At 38.1% G+C, this 20,578-nt stretch overlaps 2 protein-coding genes across 19 annotated transcripts in view, besides 4 other annotated features; one reads left to right on the top strand and one right to left on the bottom strand.

Annotated features, from left to right (window-relative positions):
• Nucleotides 116-195: a silencer, noted in NCBI's record as "silent region_14812". NCBI's record gives its function as "represses an Ori minimal core promoter by ATAC-STARR-seq in GM12878 lymphoblastoid cells {active_cell/tissue: GM12878}" and the evidence as "EXISTENCE:reporter gene assay evidence [ECO:0000049][PMID:35858748]".
• Nucleotides 181-6,172, top strand: PFN2 (profilin 2). 2 transcript variants are annotated; one of them, NM_002628.5, is made up of 3 exons: nucleotides 181-351; nucleotides 2,526-2,718; nucleotides 4,812-6,172. In NM_002628.5, the coding sequence occupies exons 1-3, from the start codon at nucleotides 220-222 to the stop codon at nucleotides 4,907-4,909; spliced, it is 423 nt and encodes a 140-aa protein (NP_002619.1). In that variant the 5' UTR covers nucleotides 181-219; the 3' UTR covers nucleotides 4,910-6,172. The 2 variants fall into 2 exon arrangements, with proteins under 2 accessions (NP_002619.1, NP_444252.1); NM_053024.4 differs by having other exon boundaries at nucleotides 4,490-6,172.
• Nucleotides 406-645: a silencer, noted in NCBI's record as "silent region_14811". NCBI's record gives its function as "represses an Ori minimal core promoter by ATAC-STARR-seq in GM12878 lymphoblastoid cells {active_cell/tissue: GM12878}" and the evidence as "EXISTENCE:reporter gene assay evidence [ECO:0000049][PMID:35858748]".
• Nucleotides 656-705: a silencer, noted in NCBI's record as "silent region_14810". NCBI's record gives its function as "represses an Ori minimal core promoter by ATAC-STARR-seq in GM12878 lymphoblastoid cells {active_cell/tissue: GM12878}" and the evidence as "EXISTENCE:reporter gene assay evidence [ECO:0000049][PMID:35858748]".
• Nucleotides 726-985: a silencer, noted in NCBI's record as "silent region_14809". NCBI's record gives its function as "represses an Ori minimal core promoter by ATAC-STARR-seq in GM12878 lymphoblastoid cells {active_cell/tissue: GM12878}" and the evidence as "EXISTENCE:reporter gene assay evidence [ECO:0000049][PMID:35858748]".
• The window catches only part of RNF13 (ring finger protein 13), a 149,452-nt gene continuing 137,810 nt past the window's right edge, over nucleotides 8,937-20,578 (bottom strand). For all 17 annotated transcript variants that reach the window (NR_165474.1, XM_047447380.1, XM_011512373.3 and 14 more), the window contains 2 exons: nucleotides 10,940-11,020; nucleotides 8,937-10,336 (listed from right to left, as the gene is read on the bottom strand). Coding sequence is in view for 16 of the 17 variants with exons in the window: in XM_047447380.1 (XP_047303336.1) it covers nucleotides 9,972-10,336; nucleotides 10,940-11,020 (446 nt within the window). In the remaining variant the exon portion in view is untranslated. The remainder of the gene's footprint in view (nucleotides 10,337-10,939; nucleotides 11,021-20,578) is intronic.

The following is a 20,578-nucleotide window of genomic DNA, read 5'->3' as shown; positions in this document are numbered from 1 at the left end:
CCGGGCGGCCGAGCGCGCTCTGAGGTTCGTCCCTCATCGCTGAACCCGCGTCCTCCCGCCGCAGCTCCTCGGGGAGGGGGGCGGTCGGTGCCTGCGCAGAGCCGCCTCCTCCCCGCCCCCGCCCCGCCTCCCCCCGCGCCGCCGCCGCCCGCTACCGCCGCCGCCGCCGCTGCGCCTGCTGCTCCTCGCCGTCCGCGCTGCAGTGCGAAGGGCTCGAAGATGGCCGGTTGGCAGAGCTACGTGGATAACCTGATGTGCGATGGCTGCTGCCAGGAGGCCGCCATTGTCGGCTACTGCGACGCCAAATACGTCTGGGCAGCCACGGCCGGGGGCGTCTTTCAGAGCATTACGGTGAGGACCAGTGGCGGCCGGTACCCTGGTCCCTGCACCGGAGCGGGGTGGCCGGCCGCGGGGGCACCGCAGCGCGGGGCTGGAACACTGAGGGCCGAGCCCGCAGGTGTGCTAGGCAGCGGGCGCCGAGGATGCGGCTGCCGGGCGGGCGGGGAGGCCGAGGCCCGGGGACGCCCCCTCACCCGGGGCTGCGCTGACAGGCTGGGGGCGGCGGCCGGACTCCTTGCTGGCCCTGGCCGGGCGCCCCCGGCGTTCCCAGCGTCGGTCCAGGTGCCCGGGTTGGGGGAGGGGGCACGCACCGGCCAGGGCAAGGGGAGGGGTTCCTTTTTTCCTCCTAGTGCGGTTCCCCTAGGTTCTCTTGAAGCCCTGAGGTTTGCTATGCACGTTCTGGGGTGGAAGCGGGGGTCGGGGATCCGGGCTGGGGCGCGCGGGCCCCGGGTGGAGGTCCCTAGGCTCTCTGGCCGGCTCTTGCTCCGCGGACAGCGCGCCTCCCGCGCCTCCGGCTGTGGGAGGCGGCGGCCCCGGCCCGGCCCCCGGGATTCTCGAAGCGACTTTGCGTAGGTTTACCGATGTCCAGGCCTCTGGGGCTTGCGAGAGATGTACGCCGACCGCGTAGGTGGATTCGTGAATCTCGACTTCAGCTCTAGCTCTATAGGTTGTTTTTTTTTTTTTTTTAAATTCTCCAAGATGGCGAACTGCCATTGATTTCTCTTCTCATATGGAGATTCATCGATATACGGTTATCCCCAGTTATGCAACATAGCTCAAAAAAGGGGTGCTTTTCGGGGGCTTTCAATTATCTGCGAAGACCAGGAGCACACTTCACTTCTCTAAGTCCCTCCCTCTTTAGTGGTGGCAGTAAAGGAACTAATGCAGTTTTATGCTTCACATTGCCTGATTTTCTTGAGACTTGATGGTTTTGAGTTGGTTGCAATATGTTTGGAGAATATTTGCCACAAAACCTCCAGCTTATTGTTTTGCCTGTTTCTGCCCAAGGCTGTTTCTAAAATTATGATAATTGTACTAAATACGAGACCATTCTCTTTATTTCTTAGCACCACGCTCCCTTTCCATTAAGCACCAAAATTCAGGTCCCCTATTAAGGGTGCTAATTATTCTTTTACCACTTAACATGGTTTAAAGTCTAACTTTAGAACTCAGTCCTTGATAGTAGTACTTTAAGGTCTCGTATACCCGCAGTGGACTACAATTCTTGTAGGGAATTGGCATCTGGTCATCAACTTTTTTCCTGCAGTCCTCTTGTCTTTGTGTGTGAGTTCCCGCTGTCTGACTAGGAAGATTGCGGGAGTGTGCTTGGAAATGGCTGGGGCCTGCTATGACTCTGCAGTTCTGATGGGGGCGACGCCTTCCTTCTTATTCATGGAATGTTAGAATGCACGTTTTCTCCTTTCCGGTTCTGGTGGCTACCTCAGTTTCTTTCCCAATCTCCCTCCATTTTTTCTGTTTTACTATTGCCTACCGCAGTGCTGTAGACAGAATCCACTTTGCGTTTGCCCAGAAAGAAAACTGATTACTGAGATGGGAGGGGAAGGGAAGTTGGAAAGAAACGGGAGTCGTGGCTAGAAAAATAGGAGGGAAATATGAATTTGGAAAAGCACTGATGTCCAGGGGTTGAAGTCCATCTCATCACGTATATTTCTAGTTACTCTAAGCAGAGAAGTGAACACATCAAAGAACAGGCTTTATTTTGGGAGACTTTGAAGCAACTTTAAATTTGATGAAACATGATTTACTGTAATGGGACTGAATATGATAGACCAGCTTTGTTCAGAGTTGATAGCTGAATTTTTACCATTACGTGAACACTTTCAGGCACCAGCTGACTTAATACAGTTTATAAATAACTCTTTAAGTTTGCACTTTGTCTAGTGTCAACTGTCAACTCTTTACAGTTTCTTTGTATAGACTGGTCTTGGTTAAGAGACGACATCATTAACTGAAGTCAAATCAACTCATGTAAAATATGTGATTATATAGGATTAAATAATTATTTAGAAAAGACTGAATCTTGGTTTTACATTAGTGAAATGTGGCTATCTGGCAGTGGTAGCATAAGCCTAGCTACAGCCCTTCCTGTTACATCAAGCCCTAAAAGGAGTTAACTACAACTTAATGTGTGTGTGTTTTTTTTTTTTCTTTTTGGTGGGGGGCAGCCAATAGAAATAGATATGATTGTAGGAAAAGACCGGGAAGGTTTCTTTACCAACGGTTTGACTCTTGGCGCGAAGAAATGCTCAGTGATCAGAGATAGTCTATACGTCGATGGTGACTGCACAATGGACATCCGGACAAAGAGTCAAGGTGGGGAGCCAACATACAATGTGGCTGTCGGCAGAGCTGGTAGAGGTGAGTAAGGCATTCTTTTGGTTAAAGTTGCATGCCACATTACAACTTATTAAGCAGTTTCTTTTAACATTTTGAATAAAAGTTAGTCCATAATGGCTATTAAGGTGGTTTTTGTGAACTGCCCAGCACTATGGAGAAGCACTGCTTTAGTTTTACCTACTCTACAGCATCTATGACCTGGCCTCTTAGATCCTGATTTTGTTTCTACGATAGAATATTCGTATGAACTCACTTTCAGCTTTATTAAACTTAAAAGTCTCTTAAACTGCTTGACATGTCAAATCATAATCCTGTGGTGTTTCAGATTGTTAAATTGTTCGAATCACTTGGTTATTTTAGTCCCTTTTGGTGTGTGTTTGACCTTTGGATCTCTTTTCTTTTTTTTCTTGCTTGTATTCTAACCATTTCACTACTCAGCATAAAGAAGGAAAAATTAACATCCGTTCATTTTTCAGTTAGGAACTTTGCTGGGGAAAAGATAATTAGATGAGGATTTTGGAGTAAGTTGTCCATTCACTGAAATATTTTCAAAGATTGTGTCTGAGACTTAGATTTGAAAAGTAGGAAATTACATTTAGTTTGTATACTTGGTCCAGAAATTCAGGTGTCTCCAGACTGTTGTCAGCATTATAGAAACTCTTAATTGCACTAAAGAAGTCTCCCTACTTTTTCAAAATAAACTTTTGAAATTGAGTTTTATTATGACATCTAATTGATTTACAAATACATTTTAATGTGTTAACGCATACGAATATTTTGTAAATAGAGAGTGCTTCTGTAGCCTCACATAGCTGACTTGGCACATCTAATTTTAATAACAGCTCTACCATGTGAGGGGAGTTGAAGCTGCTGTGAGTTATAATTAATGCTATGGCTCTACCAGCTCCCTGTGATTATCCTAAAAGTTACTCGTATTCTGGTGTGAGTTGATGTTTATAAGGATTTATAAGAAAATTAGATGACTTTGAAATAGTGACAAATCTCTTTAAACCTTAGCTGCACTATACGCTGAAAAGAAGCGTCAAACACAAGACAAAAAACCAGAATATTTTATACGATACAGCACTACTGACATCTAGTGGTAGTGAATATAAAATTTGACATATACATATATTTTGGGTTATACACCTTTGAATTGCATCATAGAAGAGCAATTAGAAATCGTAAACCTATTTTTTTAGACGCAATTAAAAACAAGGCTACTACGGTGAAGTTATCAGTAAGCAAACACCTTAAATAATTTAATTTGGCCTTTTCTGAATGATACTGAGTATGCTACTTAAAATTTGATCTTCATTTTCCTCTGGAAATAATAGATACATTTAGCCTCACTGGTAAAACTTAATAGTTTAAACTTATCAAGCATGTTAAAATTTGGGGAGAGTTTGTAAGTAAGTAACTCCCCAGGTTTATTAAGTTTATATTTTGGGGGCAAGTAATAACATGTACTTGACATCAGCCAGAATTTTTTTGCCCTAAAATAGAAGACAAATGGTCACTTTTTTTTTTTTCTGTAGCTAGTGTAAAGATAGTTGTATAGAACTTTTGCTTGCATTGATTGGCTTCCAAGATGCAGTCAAGTTTACTATTTTCTGTTTAGTATATTACTAGTTTGAAAGTTCTTTTTGGAAACCTACTTGACTTCAGTGCTTGGCAGTTCATGGAAAACTAACTTAATGTTAACTTATTAATCCGGGTTCTGTCTGCTAAAACTTATGTGACTTTCTTGATTAACACTTCTTTTGAAACACTTTTCTTCTTTCTCTTTCAGTCTTGGTCTTTGTAATGGGAAAAGAAGGGGTCCATGGAGGCGGATTGAATAAGAAGGCATACTCAATGGCAAAATACTTGAGAGACTCTGGGTTCTAGCTGCTAGGCAGACTGTTAAGTATTAGGGGAAAATTGCTCTTAAACTTTCCTAGCTATAAGCTTAAGTCTTAATTCTGGAAATTTTATTAGCAATGCAGGGTGATGGGGTATGAACCTGTGTCTCCTTTGTATCCCTCTGTTGGTGGGGAAAGGTGTCTTTCTTTCTGCCCTCCCCCCCCAAAATAATTCTGTTCACTTTTGTTTTGTTTCCTTGTGTACTCCAGCATTGGTTATAGTCATGGGAAAGGAAGGTGTCCACGGAGGCACACTTAACAAGAAAGCATATGAACTCGCTTTATACCTGAGGAGGTCTGATGTGTAAGCAGCCTCTCCCCATCTACCTAGCAACTGTCTTCATCAACAACCCTAATTATGGTCACAATGCTACCAAACTGTAGATGGTAGCTAATTTTTCTTTACCTATTTTCTAATGTCATGATTCCTGTTTGCCCAATGGATCATTTGTATGTTAACCACTGTATGTAACCAACCCTTATCTGGCAACATAATTGCAGCACAATAATGATTTGCATGATACCTTGAAATTGGGGGGAGGGGGCATGCCAAGTTGGGCATCACTTTGTCTTAGCAATTAATGGGATATTGATTACTAAAATAAGTTAATATTAAGCAAGGTGCCGGTTGTACAATCTCTGATCAGTGTCTTTTCAGCACTTTGAGCATTTACTTGGCTCATTTAGTCTTCCTTTTGTAGCGCATGGTTGGGAGGAAAAAGTGCATGCATCATTCCTTCACTCTTCTCTTTTTCCCGCCCCCCCTCCCTTCGCACATAGGCATTTGGTTTGCTTCCATCTTTTTTTATGCAGTGCCTGTTTTTTTTTAACCAATTAAAATCCCTTTTGTTGATGAGCTATTGAGAGCTGCAGTAGTTTGCTTTTAGTATTGTTGTTGCACTTGAGCAGAGACAAACCTTTATTCATAGTGTCTACAGGACATATGAAGAGTGCAATGGCAAAACAAGAGCAAAAAGCACTTCCTCCCATGACCTTACAGTAACCATACTGATTGAATCCCCAGGGACATTCCATCATTGCAATAGCTCAGATTTTTCTTCCTTTTTCTTTGCACACCAGCTCTACTCTTTAGTAAAATTGTAAAAGGCTGCCATTATGGACATTAGGTATCCCAACATAACCATCTGGAGTGTGTCCAGTTTGTTCTTCATAGGACCAATTTTTATTTGCAGCTTGAGTTTTTATATGAAGTTGCATTATTGTGGACTTGGCTGTCTTGTGATGAATTTTTTTCATATGTATTCTGTGCCATACTATTGTTAAAATGAACTGTTGCTATTGTGAGATGGATTTTAACTGACCTATTAAGGGTTTCTTTCGAATGGCACTACTTTAGGGACATTCTAGTATTTGCTTCTATTGTTTGGGCCTTGTGGATAATGTACAGATTTAAAAACAAATCTTGTTGCTGATTTGTCCATTTCTTTCCCTGCACTTTGTTACATCTGGGATACAGTCTAACTCATCTGATTTAATATGCATTTAAAAAAATGCCATAACTATTAAACACCTTGTTTACAGACAGATGAAATAAATTTATTCCAACCAAATACTCTAGGCTCCTGTTGTTTATATACATTGTTTATATAAACTGTTAAAAGTTGATTTTTGACAAAGTGGGAATACACAGAATAGGCCAAAGTCTGCTGCAAGCATAAAACTTCAGCAATATTAGGTGATGGCCTACTTCAAGTAATATTACAGATAAAATTAGTGCCTGGGAATTTCTTTTTAATGGACTCTGATCTGTTACACATAGCTTTTAGTCATTTCAGGCTCATCTTCAGGAGTATGTGAGAAGCAACTGACTTATCTGCTAGAAAATAAGTATTTTCCTCTTCTTGCTGGTTTCTAGATGTGAAATCTAATAGTAAAGGGAGTACCAAGAAGGGTTTCTGCACTATTGTGGATTTTTCTGTATTGAAATGTCATATGACTTTAGATTTGGAAGCTGTGTTGGCAGGCTGAAGTCAGCCAGCTGGGGCCCTCCCACATAAGAGCAGAAGACATTCCTTAGGCAGCATATAAGATAATTGGGATGCTTTTGCATTTTTTGGCTTTGTAGTGACATGTTGACCATGGCTGTGTAATAGGTTTAAATCCAGAGGCCATAAAATCCCTGATATATATTGAAGTTTGATAAATATGTAAATTTAGGGCTATTTACATAAATCATTATTACCAACAACTGTCAAGCGGACGCTTAGAGCCAGGGGTGCTCAAAAGTTAGTAGGTCTCAGTAAAACTGGGGAGCTGGTTATAAGGCAGACTATGGACTCTGGGGTTCCACTCTGGAGATGGAGAGTCCATAAGCCCAGGAATCCCTTTTCAGAAACAATCACTGAGTCAGTCTGATTCATTTTAAGTGGTGTATATGCTACCTTTTGAGAAAAAATGGGTTAGGGAATAGGAATTAACCTGTCTTAAAATATACTATGCATAATGAAAGTTTTTTTTTCTTTGACTAGTTGTCAGGCACTGGTTGTGAATATGGTTGTACATACACAGGGATGTACAAATATGGGAGATAAAGGATTTGGGGCTATTTTGGTAGTTGGACATAACCTAGAAATTGTAAAACTATAATAAAAACCTGGTATCAGTTTCTTGACCTGTTAAGGCCAAAAGACGGGGCAAATGAAAATTTGGTGGTTGAGTTGTGATGATTTGAGATTTTACAATAATACACATTCACACTTTACATGTAAAGAACTATTAGGGTAACCAATTATAGAAGGCAGTGACCAAAATTCTGAAACTCTTAATTAATCTGTAAGTAGGTGAAGGGGCAGTGTGTATGTGTGTGTTCAGAGAGGAGGTTGTGGGTAGAGAAGGTGGTAAAGGGTGAGTGTATCACTAAAATAGTATATAATGAAACTATTCATTGGCTTTCTACCCACAATTTCATTAGAAAAATACTTAGGGAAATACATACATGCGTACTTTGCTTTGTACTTAGTTCTAGGAATTTAGCATATGGAAATGAAGCTATACAAATTTGTATACCAGAATGTCCATCATGCTGCATTACTTATGACATCCAAACTTGGAAAATATCTACAAAGTTCAGCTTTTTAAGGGGTATGGTTTGAATAAATGATTTTAAGTCCATAGGACAAAATAGTCATTGAAGAATGACATAAGAATGTTTACCAATGAATGTTAATAATATAAGGATATAAACATGTCACATGACAGTGCACATACATACAGTATTAATATACATGTATTTTACATATGTATTTCTGAAGGCAATATATTAAGATAAATTTATCTCTGGAGTGAAAGTTTCCAGGTGACTATATTTTGATTTCTAGTGTTAATATTACTTTTGTAATCAAGAAAGTTTTAAATGTTTTTTAAATAGAAATTGGATTTTAATTGCACCTACTGTCCTGTTTGAAAAGCTATACCATGAAATTATAGAACATTTCAAGTGAACATTCACAGAACCTAGTAACAGCCCTAGCCAGTGCTGCTAAATAAGACACTTCGTAGATTTTTTTTTACAGTTAGTTAGTAATTATTTGGAATTTCAAAAAAAAATTTTTTTTTCCATAAAACTCCTAACATAAAGGGACCAGGTCCTTATTCTAAACTTTGGATTAAAGACTGAGGGAATATAACATCTAATACATACTTAACCATTACCGTGACTTTTTACTTTTTTCCCTTTTCCTATTTTAAAATATTGTTTTAGGTTTGTTTTTATTTAATAATAATTATTTTGAAGGCTATTACTTATTGCGCATTGATGTGCCAGATACTGAGCTCAATGTTTTCTCCTCACACCCTCTTAGGTTAAATGAAAATTATGCAAATGACCAAGCAGGTTTAAAAAGGTTAGGGCCATACAATTATGTCAAATTCCAAACTCTGCTTAACTACCGTGGTAACCTTTGATGTCCTGTTTCTCAGGCCTGTGGTTCTTTAATTTTTTATAAAAAAGGGGAAGAGGGATGAGGTATCAGATAGCTGATGTTGAATTCAACCGTTTATTTTCCAAAGTAGAAATACCTATTTATTTTTTTCCTGATTATGAACATTATTTTTTAAAAGGCAATTTGGAAAGTGAAATTTTCCCTCGATATACCATAATTTACAACAGGGTACCAAAATGTACACTGTTTATTTTTGGAATAATTTTGGCAGCAGTCTAAACTTTTTGGGATATTACCTAACTGCATGTGAATGGTCAGTTACCTTGTATAAAGTCCTAAGGTGATGTGATTTCTCTGACCTCAATCATTATCACTTTATAGGATATATATAAATAAGGCTAATATGGTAAGTAATACTACAGTAGAACAGACATTTACTGGATCTTAAAGTGGAAAACATGTTTATTAACATTCAAACTCCCCTCATACAAGGCCATATAAAAATCCTTAGCATTTTGATTATACATTAGTCTACACTTTCTACATAGTTACAATGATGTATAATTTAGCTTTTCATAATACAGTGTTTCAATACATCATTAGTTCTGTTAAACATAAGTCACTTACTTTCAAATCCAATACTTGAACAGTTTCCTCTGTACATAGTTTAGCAGGGCTAATTAGCATAAGATGCTATTTATTAAGAGGTATATGATCTGAGTATTAACAGTTGCTGAAGTTTGGTATTTTTATGCAGCATTTTCTTTTTGCTTTGATAACACTACAGAACCCTTAAGGACACTGAAAATTAGTAAGTAAAGTTCAGAAACATTAGCTGCTCAATCAAATCTCTACATAACACTATAGTAATTAAAACGTTAAAAAAAAGTGTTGAAATCTGCACTAGTATAGACCGCTCCTGTCAGGATAAGACTGCTTTGGAACAGAAAGGGAAAAAACAGCTTTGAGTTTCTTTGTGCTGATAGGAGGAAAGGCTGAATTACCTTGTTGCCTCTCCCTAATGATTGGCAGGTCAGGTAAATGCCAGAACATATTCCAACTCAACAACTCTAGGTAACTTTATGGAGGTGGAAGCTGGGTTAGTTCATGCTAGGTGGCTGTAGCACTGACCTCATGTATAAAACGCAAAACACTTAAATACTGTGATCTAGGTCTTAATTGCAAGCTATACTGAGGATTTTTTTTTTTTTATGTTTTGGCTATACTTTCATTCCAAAAGAAGAGCTGAATTGATGCTTGAGTTACAGCACCAGTCTATTATTAGTGAATGAAGTATATTCTTGGCAGATAAATACCAGATCAAAAGTCCTGTTTCAGTAATTTGATTAAACTGTAGAATACTAAAAAATAAGTTATTTCTACAGAAATCTTTGAAGGGAGCAAAAAATCAAATTACAGTATATACCTAATCATTTTAAAGGGAAATAAACCAATCATCTTCTGAAAGTCAAACAGTATTTGCTATGTTGTAATCCCGTTCACCATTAGGCTGCAACTGGACCACGACATCATGTTCATTAATTTCATTTTCTGCATCACTACTGTCAGTATCTTCATTGTCGTCTTCCTCATAGTCTGAAGATTCTGTCATGTTCTGATGTGAGCGGGATTCCGATAAAGCCCCAAATGACTGGGCACTGACAGAAGCTAAAGGTCTCAGTAAAGGGGTATGTTCTGTCACTTCATTTTCTTCTTGACTACTGTCTGTGTCAGAGTCTGAATCGCCTTGAGAAGGAACAACTTTTTGCTTGCACACTGGACAGGTTTTTTTGGTTTTAGTTAGCCAAGGGTCTACACACTTGCAGTGATAAGCTGTTGAAGCAAAATATACATCTTTAGTTAGTATGCTGCGGTTGATACTTTTATATTTAATCTCTTGCCATATTTATTCAGTGTTCTGTATGTATCATGTAGGGACGGGAAGAAAGTTTATTTTTTATTTTTATTTTTATTTTTTTTTGAGATGGAGTCTTGCTCTGTCACCCAGGCTGGAGTGCAGTGGCACAATCTCAGCTCACTGTAACCTCTGCCTCCTGGGTTCACGCCATTGTCCTGCCTCAGCCTCCCTAGTAGCTGGGGACTACAGGCGCCCGCCACCACACCCAGCTAATTTTTTGTATTTTTAGTAGAGACGGGGTTTCACTGTGTAAGCCAGGATGGTCTCGATCTCCTGACCTCATGATCTGCCTGCCTCGGCCTCCCAAAGTGCTGGGATTACAGGCGTGAGCCACCATGCCCGGCCTGAAAGTTTATAAATTTTTATAAATACACCTCCATCCTTGAATGAGACCACTAATTAGTACAGGGCCTGGCTTCTGGTGTGCTAATAACTATTTTCCATCTCTTCCCCTGGAATATGGAACCTAAATATAAATTACTATATGTAAATTCAAAGCAGTACGTAATTACTCATACCATGGGAACAGGGAAGGATTCTGAGTTTGTCTCCATCTTCATACTCATCCAAACAAATGGCACATACATCATACTCATCTCCTGAAAACAGAAAATATGTAGAGAACTATTTTTTCACCTTTCAAACTTTTCAAGTTAGTCCTCAGTTACTGCCTTTTGATGTATTTATCTTTGAATGATGCCTTTTGCATCGGACTCAAGGATCTGCTTATCTAAGTCCTAGGACCTGAAGTTTCAATTTAAGTAATTAACATTTTACCTAAACTAGTTAAAAATTGATGACAAATTTGTTTACCTTGATTATCTTTGCAAAATATTTTAGTAAGACTCATAATTACATCAGTGTTCTACCTAACCAAATGCTAGTTTTGAAATATTTAATGCCAGATAAAATTTCACTACTAAAATGTTCAAACTGAGTCATTTTTTAAATAAAAATGGAAACATGAGAATATACTCAAATGTTTAACTATATTAGCAAATAAAAACAGAATTGAAATGAGTCACACTGGACTTCAAATCTCTAGCATTTACCAAATTCTGTGGTGCTTGGCAAGTTGCTTAGCCTTTGCCATCCAGTTCTTTATCAGTAAAAAGATTAACTTACCTTGCAGGTTATAAGGATGAAATGAGCAAAGGGCCAGGCACATAGGTATTCAATAAAGGGTATACTATTAATATTGCCACTTTAATTGTCTTACTGTGGAATTTATCAGTTTTATAATCATAGAAATTTATTAATTCATAGCTCTTTTTGGAGTTCCAGTGTTTTTTAAGTTTTTAAAGGAACTAGCAGTTTTTGTTTGTTTGTTTGTTTGTTTGTTTTTGGAGACGGAGTCTCGCACTTTTGGCCCAGGCTGGAGTGCAGTGGCATGATCTTGGTTCACAGGAACTAGCAGTTTTTTTAAATACAGCAGCTTTTTCAATTAATAGTGGCTTAGACACCACTGTGAATGCTTGAAAGCACTTTTGTGAGTTTTTTTCCACTACATGAATATGTTAGATAAAAACTTATAAAACTTTTAGGGACAAAAGACAGTTAAATTCATTGCCTATCCCACACGGGGTAACAACCTTGGAAGACATATCAGAAATAAAGCAATTATCTGGATGGATAGTCTGGATGAACATGACACATAAAAAAGGTGCTGATAGTTCTTCTGAAACAATCCCTTTAATGTCCTAGTCATTTAAAACACACATTCAGGAGAAGCCCGAAATAGAAAGCTTTAATGAAAATTACTAAGTTTTGTCCATTACCTTGAATTTGGTTACTATAGTATCTAAATTACATTCTGTAACAAATGCATATGTACATGTGTTAGAATCTTGTGTGTGGAATTTGGTGAGACTTATTAGACTCAACTATTAGAAGACTAAAGGACCTCTGATATATCTGCAATTATTGTTTTTAATTATAATTACATAGATCTATTTACATGGACTTTGAGGACAGATAGTTATGCAATTCAATCATGACTGATTTCTCATACAAATCAACCTTTGAGTCACATCACCTTTTGAAAACGCCTACTAAAAACAAAACAGTTAATGTAGCTGAACAGGAACTGACTGTGGCTCAAAGCTGTGCCAAGGCTCTAAGGCTCATTTTATTGAGGTAGGGAGATCAGCCTGTATTATCCATGTGAGCTCAATGTGATCACAAGGGTTTTGAAAAGTGGAAGAAGGAAGCAGGAAAATTCAGAGTCGGGGCGATGTGGCTACAGATGAATGGTCAGGGAGATGCAACTACTGGCTTTGAAGATAGGGGGAAGAAGGGTCACAAGTCAAGGAATTGAGTGCCCTCCAGAAGCCAGAAAAGGTAAGGAAATGGATTCTTCCCTGGAACCTCCAGAAAGGAACACAGTCCTGCTGACACCTTGGTTTTGGCCCTGTGAGACCTGTGTCAAACTTCTAACCTATAGATAATATATTTTTGTTGTTTTAGGGCATTAAGCTTTTGTTGATTTGTTATCAAATAAATAGGAAACTAATACAGGTATATTTGGGTTATCTTTAAATGTATAGACTTGATGATTTGGAATCACTGAGCTTTCTTATCAATCCTTTGAATTGTTCCAAGTAGTAGATTTATATTAATATCCCATATTTTATTGCCGTAGCACTTAGTTTGAAGATGACAGGTCAAGATTCCAAGGTACAGTTTGTGATCATGGACCAAACTGGAGCTTAGTGCTCTGTAGCAAATTAACCTTTATGGCCTTGGACTTGTGATGAAATGGTAAAGCACATATTAGAATGCCTGAGGTTCCCATCCTGGTCCTTTTATTAGCTATGTAACTTTATGTAAAACACTTATCTTTATGTTTGTTTTCTCAAAGGCAAAACACAAACATTAACATAATTATGTATTAGGGTTGTTGTGAAGATTAAAAGAGATAATGCAAGTAGAGTAATTTACATGGTGTTTCGCACATACAATACCTCTTAACCAATTTTTACCTAGTAAAACTAGCCGATAGGCATACTTACTTATCACATGGTAGAAGACTGGCTAGGAGGCTATTCTCTAACCAACCTTATGCTTTTGTCCCAACAGATGATCAGCTGCATGCTTACAAAAGGCTAGTGGCAGTGGTCATTGAACCTGTTTGTTTTACTTAGGGTAATTATGTAATTTAGTTAAATATTCAGCAGTCCATAAACTGTGAGTGTAAAAGACTTCTGGTTTTATTTGAAAGCTAGGTTGAATGCATTAGAAATACTTTAAAAAAAAAGCTAGTTGCTCCCCTCAACCCATCCCCAGTCAAAAAGTGGTTAAATTGGGTATGGGTAAAAAAACTAAAAGACTGGACAAATGTAGAAAGCAAGGATGAAAGCAGAATCCAGTTTTTCCCCCACTAAAATACTTGAAACTAAAAATGGTAGAAAATGCTTCATGTACCATGGCAATTTGGAAATCCAGCCAGTGGATTCATACTCAAAAGGCTGTGGTCCAACATCAATTGTTGAGTGGATTTACAATTACATTTAAAATAGAAATTAAAGGCATTTATCTATTTTTATGATTTATAAGATTTTAAACATTACCTACTGGCTCTGGTAGTATTATAAAAGGGCTATAACAAGTGCTTTATAAGTGTTAGTTTTGTTACTATTAGCACCATGAGTTGGGTTCTAAACTGGGGATGATTTTGCTCCCAAAGGACATTTGGTGATATCTGGAAACAGTTTTGGTTTTCATAACTGAGAGTTGCGGCTGGCATCTTGTGGACCAGAGATGGTGCTAAACATCCCATAATGTACTGAACAGCCCCCTAAACCAAAGTACCCCATCTAAATGTCAGTAGTGCTGAGGGTGAGAAACCCTCATAGAAACCCCTGCAGGCTAACAAAACTTTGCTAATTCACTAGTGGATAAGATGTCAGAAGTTGTGGAAGAAATCAGATTCATGTCTGTTATATGAAACAATAAGACACACTTTTGTCTGGAATGTTTTTGGAACTGCTGTAGAATAAAGTTTCAGAAAAATTTCATGAAGGTACTTTTAAAGTAAATCTCATCAATCTGGGAATGTTAAAACATGTAGCTGGACAGAACTTAGATTGTCTCCTCTTTAAACTTGTTCATCCATGATTTTTCCCCATTTCAAGCCCAAAACTTTGGCTCATCAGATACAGAAAAGTATTGGCCCTTCATAACAAGACTCACACAAAGACCTAGGTAGCCAAGGCAGTGGCATGAACTAAATATCAGGCCTAGGCCTATCTTTGATGCTTCTTTTGCTTAGAGCCTTCATACCATCTGTCACCAGATCCTGGAACCTTTTATCTGCAAAACATGTCCTGAATCTTTCCCCTTCTCTCCATCACCTTGATTACTCTGGTCTAATCTTCTAGATTATGCTAAGAGCCTCCTCTCTGGTCTCCCATCTAGTCCTGCCCCATGTAGTTTTTAGCACCTAGAGTGATCTTTTAAAAATGAAATATCACATCATGCCATTCTAATTTAAATGGCTTCCCTGAGAATAAAATTTGACCTCCTTATGATGGCCTTCATATAGCTATATATGATTTGATCCCTCTACCCCCACATCCTGTCTCATCTCATACCAATCCACCCTTCATTCATGCTTCATCCTTGTGGCCTTCTTTCAGTCTTTGAATAAATATGATAGTAAGTTAGATGGGGACCTGAATTTGGCCAGGCTGTAACAAAAACATTTGGACATAAAATTAAATTTAGAAAGAGGAATTACCATTTTTAAACAAGGCTTGAAACTGAGCTAGTTAAAATAGTCACAGTGCAGACAAATTGATGTAGAAGTTAATTGTTCAGTTCTATACCAAACTAGTTCGGGTATCAAGTAAACCAAGAATAGGTTTCCTCAAAGTAAAAGATAAAAGAGATTGAAGATTCAGGGTTAAATACATATAGATTTCACTAGTGATACTGACTTTACATATGCATTATAAATAATCTGCCTAGGGATGATGCATCATTAGAGTCATGAGTTGCCACTTACTCGCTGCTTCTGCCAGTGAAGAAAACAATAGCAGCTTTTTTTTCTTAGTACTGAATTCTTTTTAATTGCCCTGTAGTCCAAAAGTGTGTTTGGTATGAATAGCAGCTTTTTTTCTAGCAAATAAGAAATAAATGAATCTTATTTTTTATTCTTCTTTTCCCTGTACCAGTTCCCAAGAAATCTCAACAAAATACAACAGGATAAAATATTTTAAAAAGCCAGATTTGCCTGAGAACTCTTTCTGATTATTTCCAAGCCCTGGGCAAAGGAACTAATATTTATTATTAAGGTTAGATTAAAAGCTGTTAAAATGTAGTTATAAAAAAAGAAGTCTTTAATAGCTAGAGTAAAATTTTATAAGTAAAAAATTATAAAATTTAAAAAAATTATAAAAATTAACTATTACTCCATTTTTATGAAATCTACTAAAATGCTATGTTGCTTTTTTCCAGTCTCTGAAATAAAAATCTTTCCCCTCCTGTACATATAATCTTCAAAAATCTCAATGATTAAGCCATAAAGGAAAAATGCCTGGTAACTTAAAATGTCAGATATGAAATCTACTTTTATCATTTATATTTCAGGGATCTGGCTGCTTTAACATACTAATGGGGCAAGGGAGACAGCTCCCAGAGAGAGCTGCTTAATAGAGGGATGTTAAGTGAAAACATAAGGATTTTCCATCTGTTAGGAAACAGTGTGTGGTATCTAGTTCTTATGGTTAGACTTGGAGAAATACATTAATTGAATGACACAGGAAATACAGGAAACCACATTTTGCTTGAAGAGCAATTTTTGAGGACAATAACGAGTAATGAAAAAATGTGTAAGGATGCTGGCTGCTTCAGAAGCAAGAAAACAACTAAAAGGCTACTACTATATTATATATGCTAGAAATGGGTAAGTTAATACTTAAATCATTTAACTATTAATCAGCATGAACATTTCTGAAAGAACTTCAAAAGTGAAGATGAATAAGATAGGAAGATTTAAGATCCTGTCCCCAAAGTGTGGTAAATAGGAAAGTTTACAGATACTATATTCAAGTTGTTTTTAAAAGTTTCTGTGAATTGTATTACAAGCTATGCCAATGGAAGATATTTCCAAATGCCAAATTCTTTTTGGTTCATTGGCAAATATTTCCAAAACAGAAATACGTTTTAGCACAGTGAAGCAGCTGATTACTATGATAGTTTCTTTTTTTCTTTTTTGTTTTTTTGCAGGTGGGTGGGTAAGGAGTAAGGGTAAGGGTGGTAATACAAATGTTATAGAGTCCCCTAACATTTTCACTACATTCTAAGCCTATAGGAGTTCTCTTAAAGACTTCCATGGCTTCCATGGTACTATCACTGGTATGAAAAGTACCCACAGATGTGTTCTACACTTTCCTCTATGTTTTCAATTAGATGCAATAAGGAGAAAATTGCAACAACCAAAGGTTTTTTTTTTTCTAACATCTGTGTGTATATACCTTGTCAAAACCACTAGAGTACACCAGAACATGGTATAACAAACAGACCTTTTACTTAAGATGTCAAATCTCATGATAACCAAAAAATTCTAAAACAAACATACAACTAGCTCAAACTTACTGTTATTGAAATTTCAAGTGTAATGTTTTTATTTTCCAACTGCTTCACGATTTTGGCAGTCTTCTTTTTAATCATAAAATATGTTTAATAACTGAATTTTGATGACACTAATATTTTATGATTTTTATTTAAGAGGTTGTTTTGCTTTTATAATAATAATTGCTACCACTTGTTGAGTTCTATGTGCCAAGCACTATCGTAAGCATTTTTCATAAACTGATTTAAATCCCTCCCACCACACACCTTGTGAATTAAGTACTATTAGGTACATTTACACATGAATGGGTGCTTGGCAAGGTTAAGAAACTTGCACAAGGTCACACAGCCAATAAATGGGGGATCCAGAATTCCAGCCCAGGTCTGTTGGGCTCTAAAGCCTTTGCACAGTCTTAGCTGTTATGTTGTATTATATTGCCTCCTAGGTTATGTATGTAGAATTTTTGGTCACATTTAAATATTCCCCTTCGATTCATAGTGTTAAGAAATATACTTAAGCAGCTACGTATTTACTAGGGATGAAAATGTTTCCAATTCATAAGCCAGAACACTTTTTTCTTCAGATATTTAACACAAAGAAGGGATGAAGACCATTTTTTATTCCCATCTCCCATGGTTTCATATTTTTATAAACATTTCTAGAATGCTACACAATAGCAGATAATATTCTGCAACTTTAATTGAAGGTCAAACATTTCTTATATATTCTGATGGTGAGATGATAGTGCCTGCGCTAAAACAATCAGATGACTCCACTGAGGGAAAGAGCATTGCATTAGCAACTCTGGGAGAAATGTGTTAGTGAATTATTTCATGAATGCAGTGAGAATAAAATGATTGTCTTAGAGGCCATAAATAAATCCATTTAAGTTAAAACCCAAGTCTAGGAATTGATATCCACTTTGGCCAAATTTAACTTTGGGTAATCTAGCTTAAAAAAAAAAAATCCAACTTTTCCCTATAGTATTTTAAATAGTCATTCTATATATTACTCTTTATTGGGTCTAACTTGGTTGATATTATCTATGCAGATAAACTACAACTGTACCCAAAGCCTTTCTGAATGAAGATTTATCATCCTGAGGAGAAAAACCAAAGGTAATGGGAGTTTTGGAATGGTAAATATTGTGCCAGACCTCAAGTACTTAAAAAGCATTTCCTAGGCCAGGCATGGTGGCTCATGCCTGTAATCCCAGCACTCTGGGAGGTCGAGGCAGGTGGATCACCTGAGGTCGGGAGTTCAAGAATAGCCTGATTGACATGGAGAAACTCTGTCTCTACTAAAAATACAAAATTAGCTGGGCGTTGTAACGCATGCCTGTAATCCCAGCTACTCAGGAGGCTGAGGCAGGAGAATCGCTTGAACCCGGGAGGCAGAGGTTGTGATGAGCCAAGATCACACTATTGCACGCCAGCCTGGGCGACAAGAGCGAAACTCCATCTCAAAAAAAAAAAGCATTTCCTTTTACTAAGTACAGAAGGTTCATTATTATTCTTTTATTATTCTTTTTCAGGCCACTAGGAAATGAGGGTGTACAACACCCTTCCAGAGCCAACTTCAACAAACTCAAATTTATGTACATCCTAATCTAAAATTTTTCTTTTCCTACATATAAAGGAAATTAAATAAAAAACCTGTCCGTTTCAGTTACACTTGGGGCAGTGGGCCTACATTATTTTTGCATAAAGCCCAATTGCTTCTAGATGACTTCTGCTTGTTGATTAGATTAGTCTAATATTTGTTGCGGCTCTGAGTGGCAAAGGTGACTACAGGAAGTCATACATAAAATTTCCTTCTAAATAGTGCATACAAATCAATAATAAAATAGTAATGCTCCTAACAGAAATGTGAACAAAGGGCATGCCAGGTTTTAAAGCAGAAATATAAATGGATATTTTACCTTGTTAATGTAGAATATGATGAAATGAGTATTATATACTGCTAGTAGACTTGAACTTTCAGCAAATTAGTTTGTCTCAAAAATGGTCTTTCCTTTTCTCTTTGACATAGTGAGTTGAAGAGGAGAAGGAAAAGTAGGAGTAGGGTGGAGGGAATGACAAGAGAAGGAGAATGGGAAGAATGAAAGCCATGAAATGGTAGTGACTGAAAAGAGTAGGGTAGTAGTATTTACTAGTGTTTGGAGTCAGGAGGTTGAATTGCAGCCCTGCCACTTCCCTTTAGCTGCTCGTGTATCCTCAGGTAATTTACTTGACCTTTCTAAGTCTCATATTCCTTATCCATAAAGTAGACATGACAGTTTTTCCTAATTAGGCTGCTCTGAAAACTAACTGAATTCATGTATGCAAAGTACACAGTTTGCTTTCATACTACATAATAGTATGTGTTACATGCTTATAAGACCTAAAATGTGAAATTATCAAATTTTGATTTGGTGCAATGCCCATCCCAATCCAACTTAATTCTAAATAACCCATTTGGTACAAACAACCCCAACTAAAGTAGAAAGAGGCAGGGGTGGACTGAAGCATGGTTCTCCTAAGCAAATACAGCTACAGGCAAATGATAAAAGAGTGCCATGATACAAATCAACCTATAGCACCAACTCTCTCAGTTTCCTTCAGTCAAAGCTATTACAGTACAGACCTTAGGATCTTTATCTCTGGACATGAGGTAATAAAACAGTTCCTTTTCAAATAACTCATGAATGCACTGATTTCTTAGGAACCATAGCCATGGTAGTAATTCCTCACCCAACTTGCATCCTCAGTTATTTCACTGCTTTGTGGGCCTTCTGAAAAGTATTCCTTTTGAAGAGCTGAGAAACATTCCCTTTTCTGACAGACAGCAAATACAAAGAGTCACAACTTAGCAGAAACCCTGAGTAGAAAACCACCATAAGAACCAGTACTGGTAGCCAAGCCTGAACTGTGATAAATTGCCAGAGACTCAGTGTGGACAAGTCTGAGAGTTAAAACACTTCCAGGGGACCCAGTGCTTTTTTGAGTTTTACCTCCTGAAGCTCTACCAGGAAAAATCCCCTCAGGTATTGGGGGTGGTCGGGAGAAGCATTATGTTCTGAACAAGGCCTTTCCCCAAGAAAAACTATTTTACCAGATCATAATCTACTGTGGTTTTAGAATCTAACTGACCTGGGGAAAGGGCAAAAATACCCAACTCCCATCAGCTCTAACCTACATGGAACAGAAGATACCCAACTCCAGCTCCCGCCAGCCATCTTGTCCCACCTAATTCTGGGAAAAGAAGTGACGGGCACTTGTGAAGTTCAGACCCTTGGGCCACAGGCTCACTTAAAGACTGAGACAGGCCAAGTGTGGTGGCTCACATCTGTAATCCCAGCACTTTGGGAGGCTGGGGTGGGAGGAGTGCTTGATTCCAGATGTTGAAGACCAGCCTGGGCAACATAGAAAGACCCCATTTCTACCAAAAAAAAAAAAAATTAGCTGGGCATGGTGGTGTGTGCCAGTAGTCCCAGCTATTCAGGAGGCTGAGGCAGGAGGATGGCTTGAACTCAGGAGGTAGAGGCTGCAGTGAGTCAAGATTATGCCACTGCATTCCAGCTTAGGTACCAGAGTGAGAGCTT

The sequence above is a fragment of the Homo sapiens genome, chromosome 3, assembly GCF_000001405.40.
Source record: "Homo sapiens chromosome 3, GRCh38.p14 Primary Assembly".
In the NCBI taxonomy this organism is placed as follows: Eukaryota; Metazoa; Chordata; class Mammalia; order Primates; family Hominidae; genus Homo; species Homo sapiens.
This window is presented reverse-complemented; position numbering and strand designations above follow the sequence as displayed.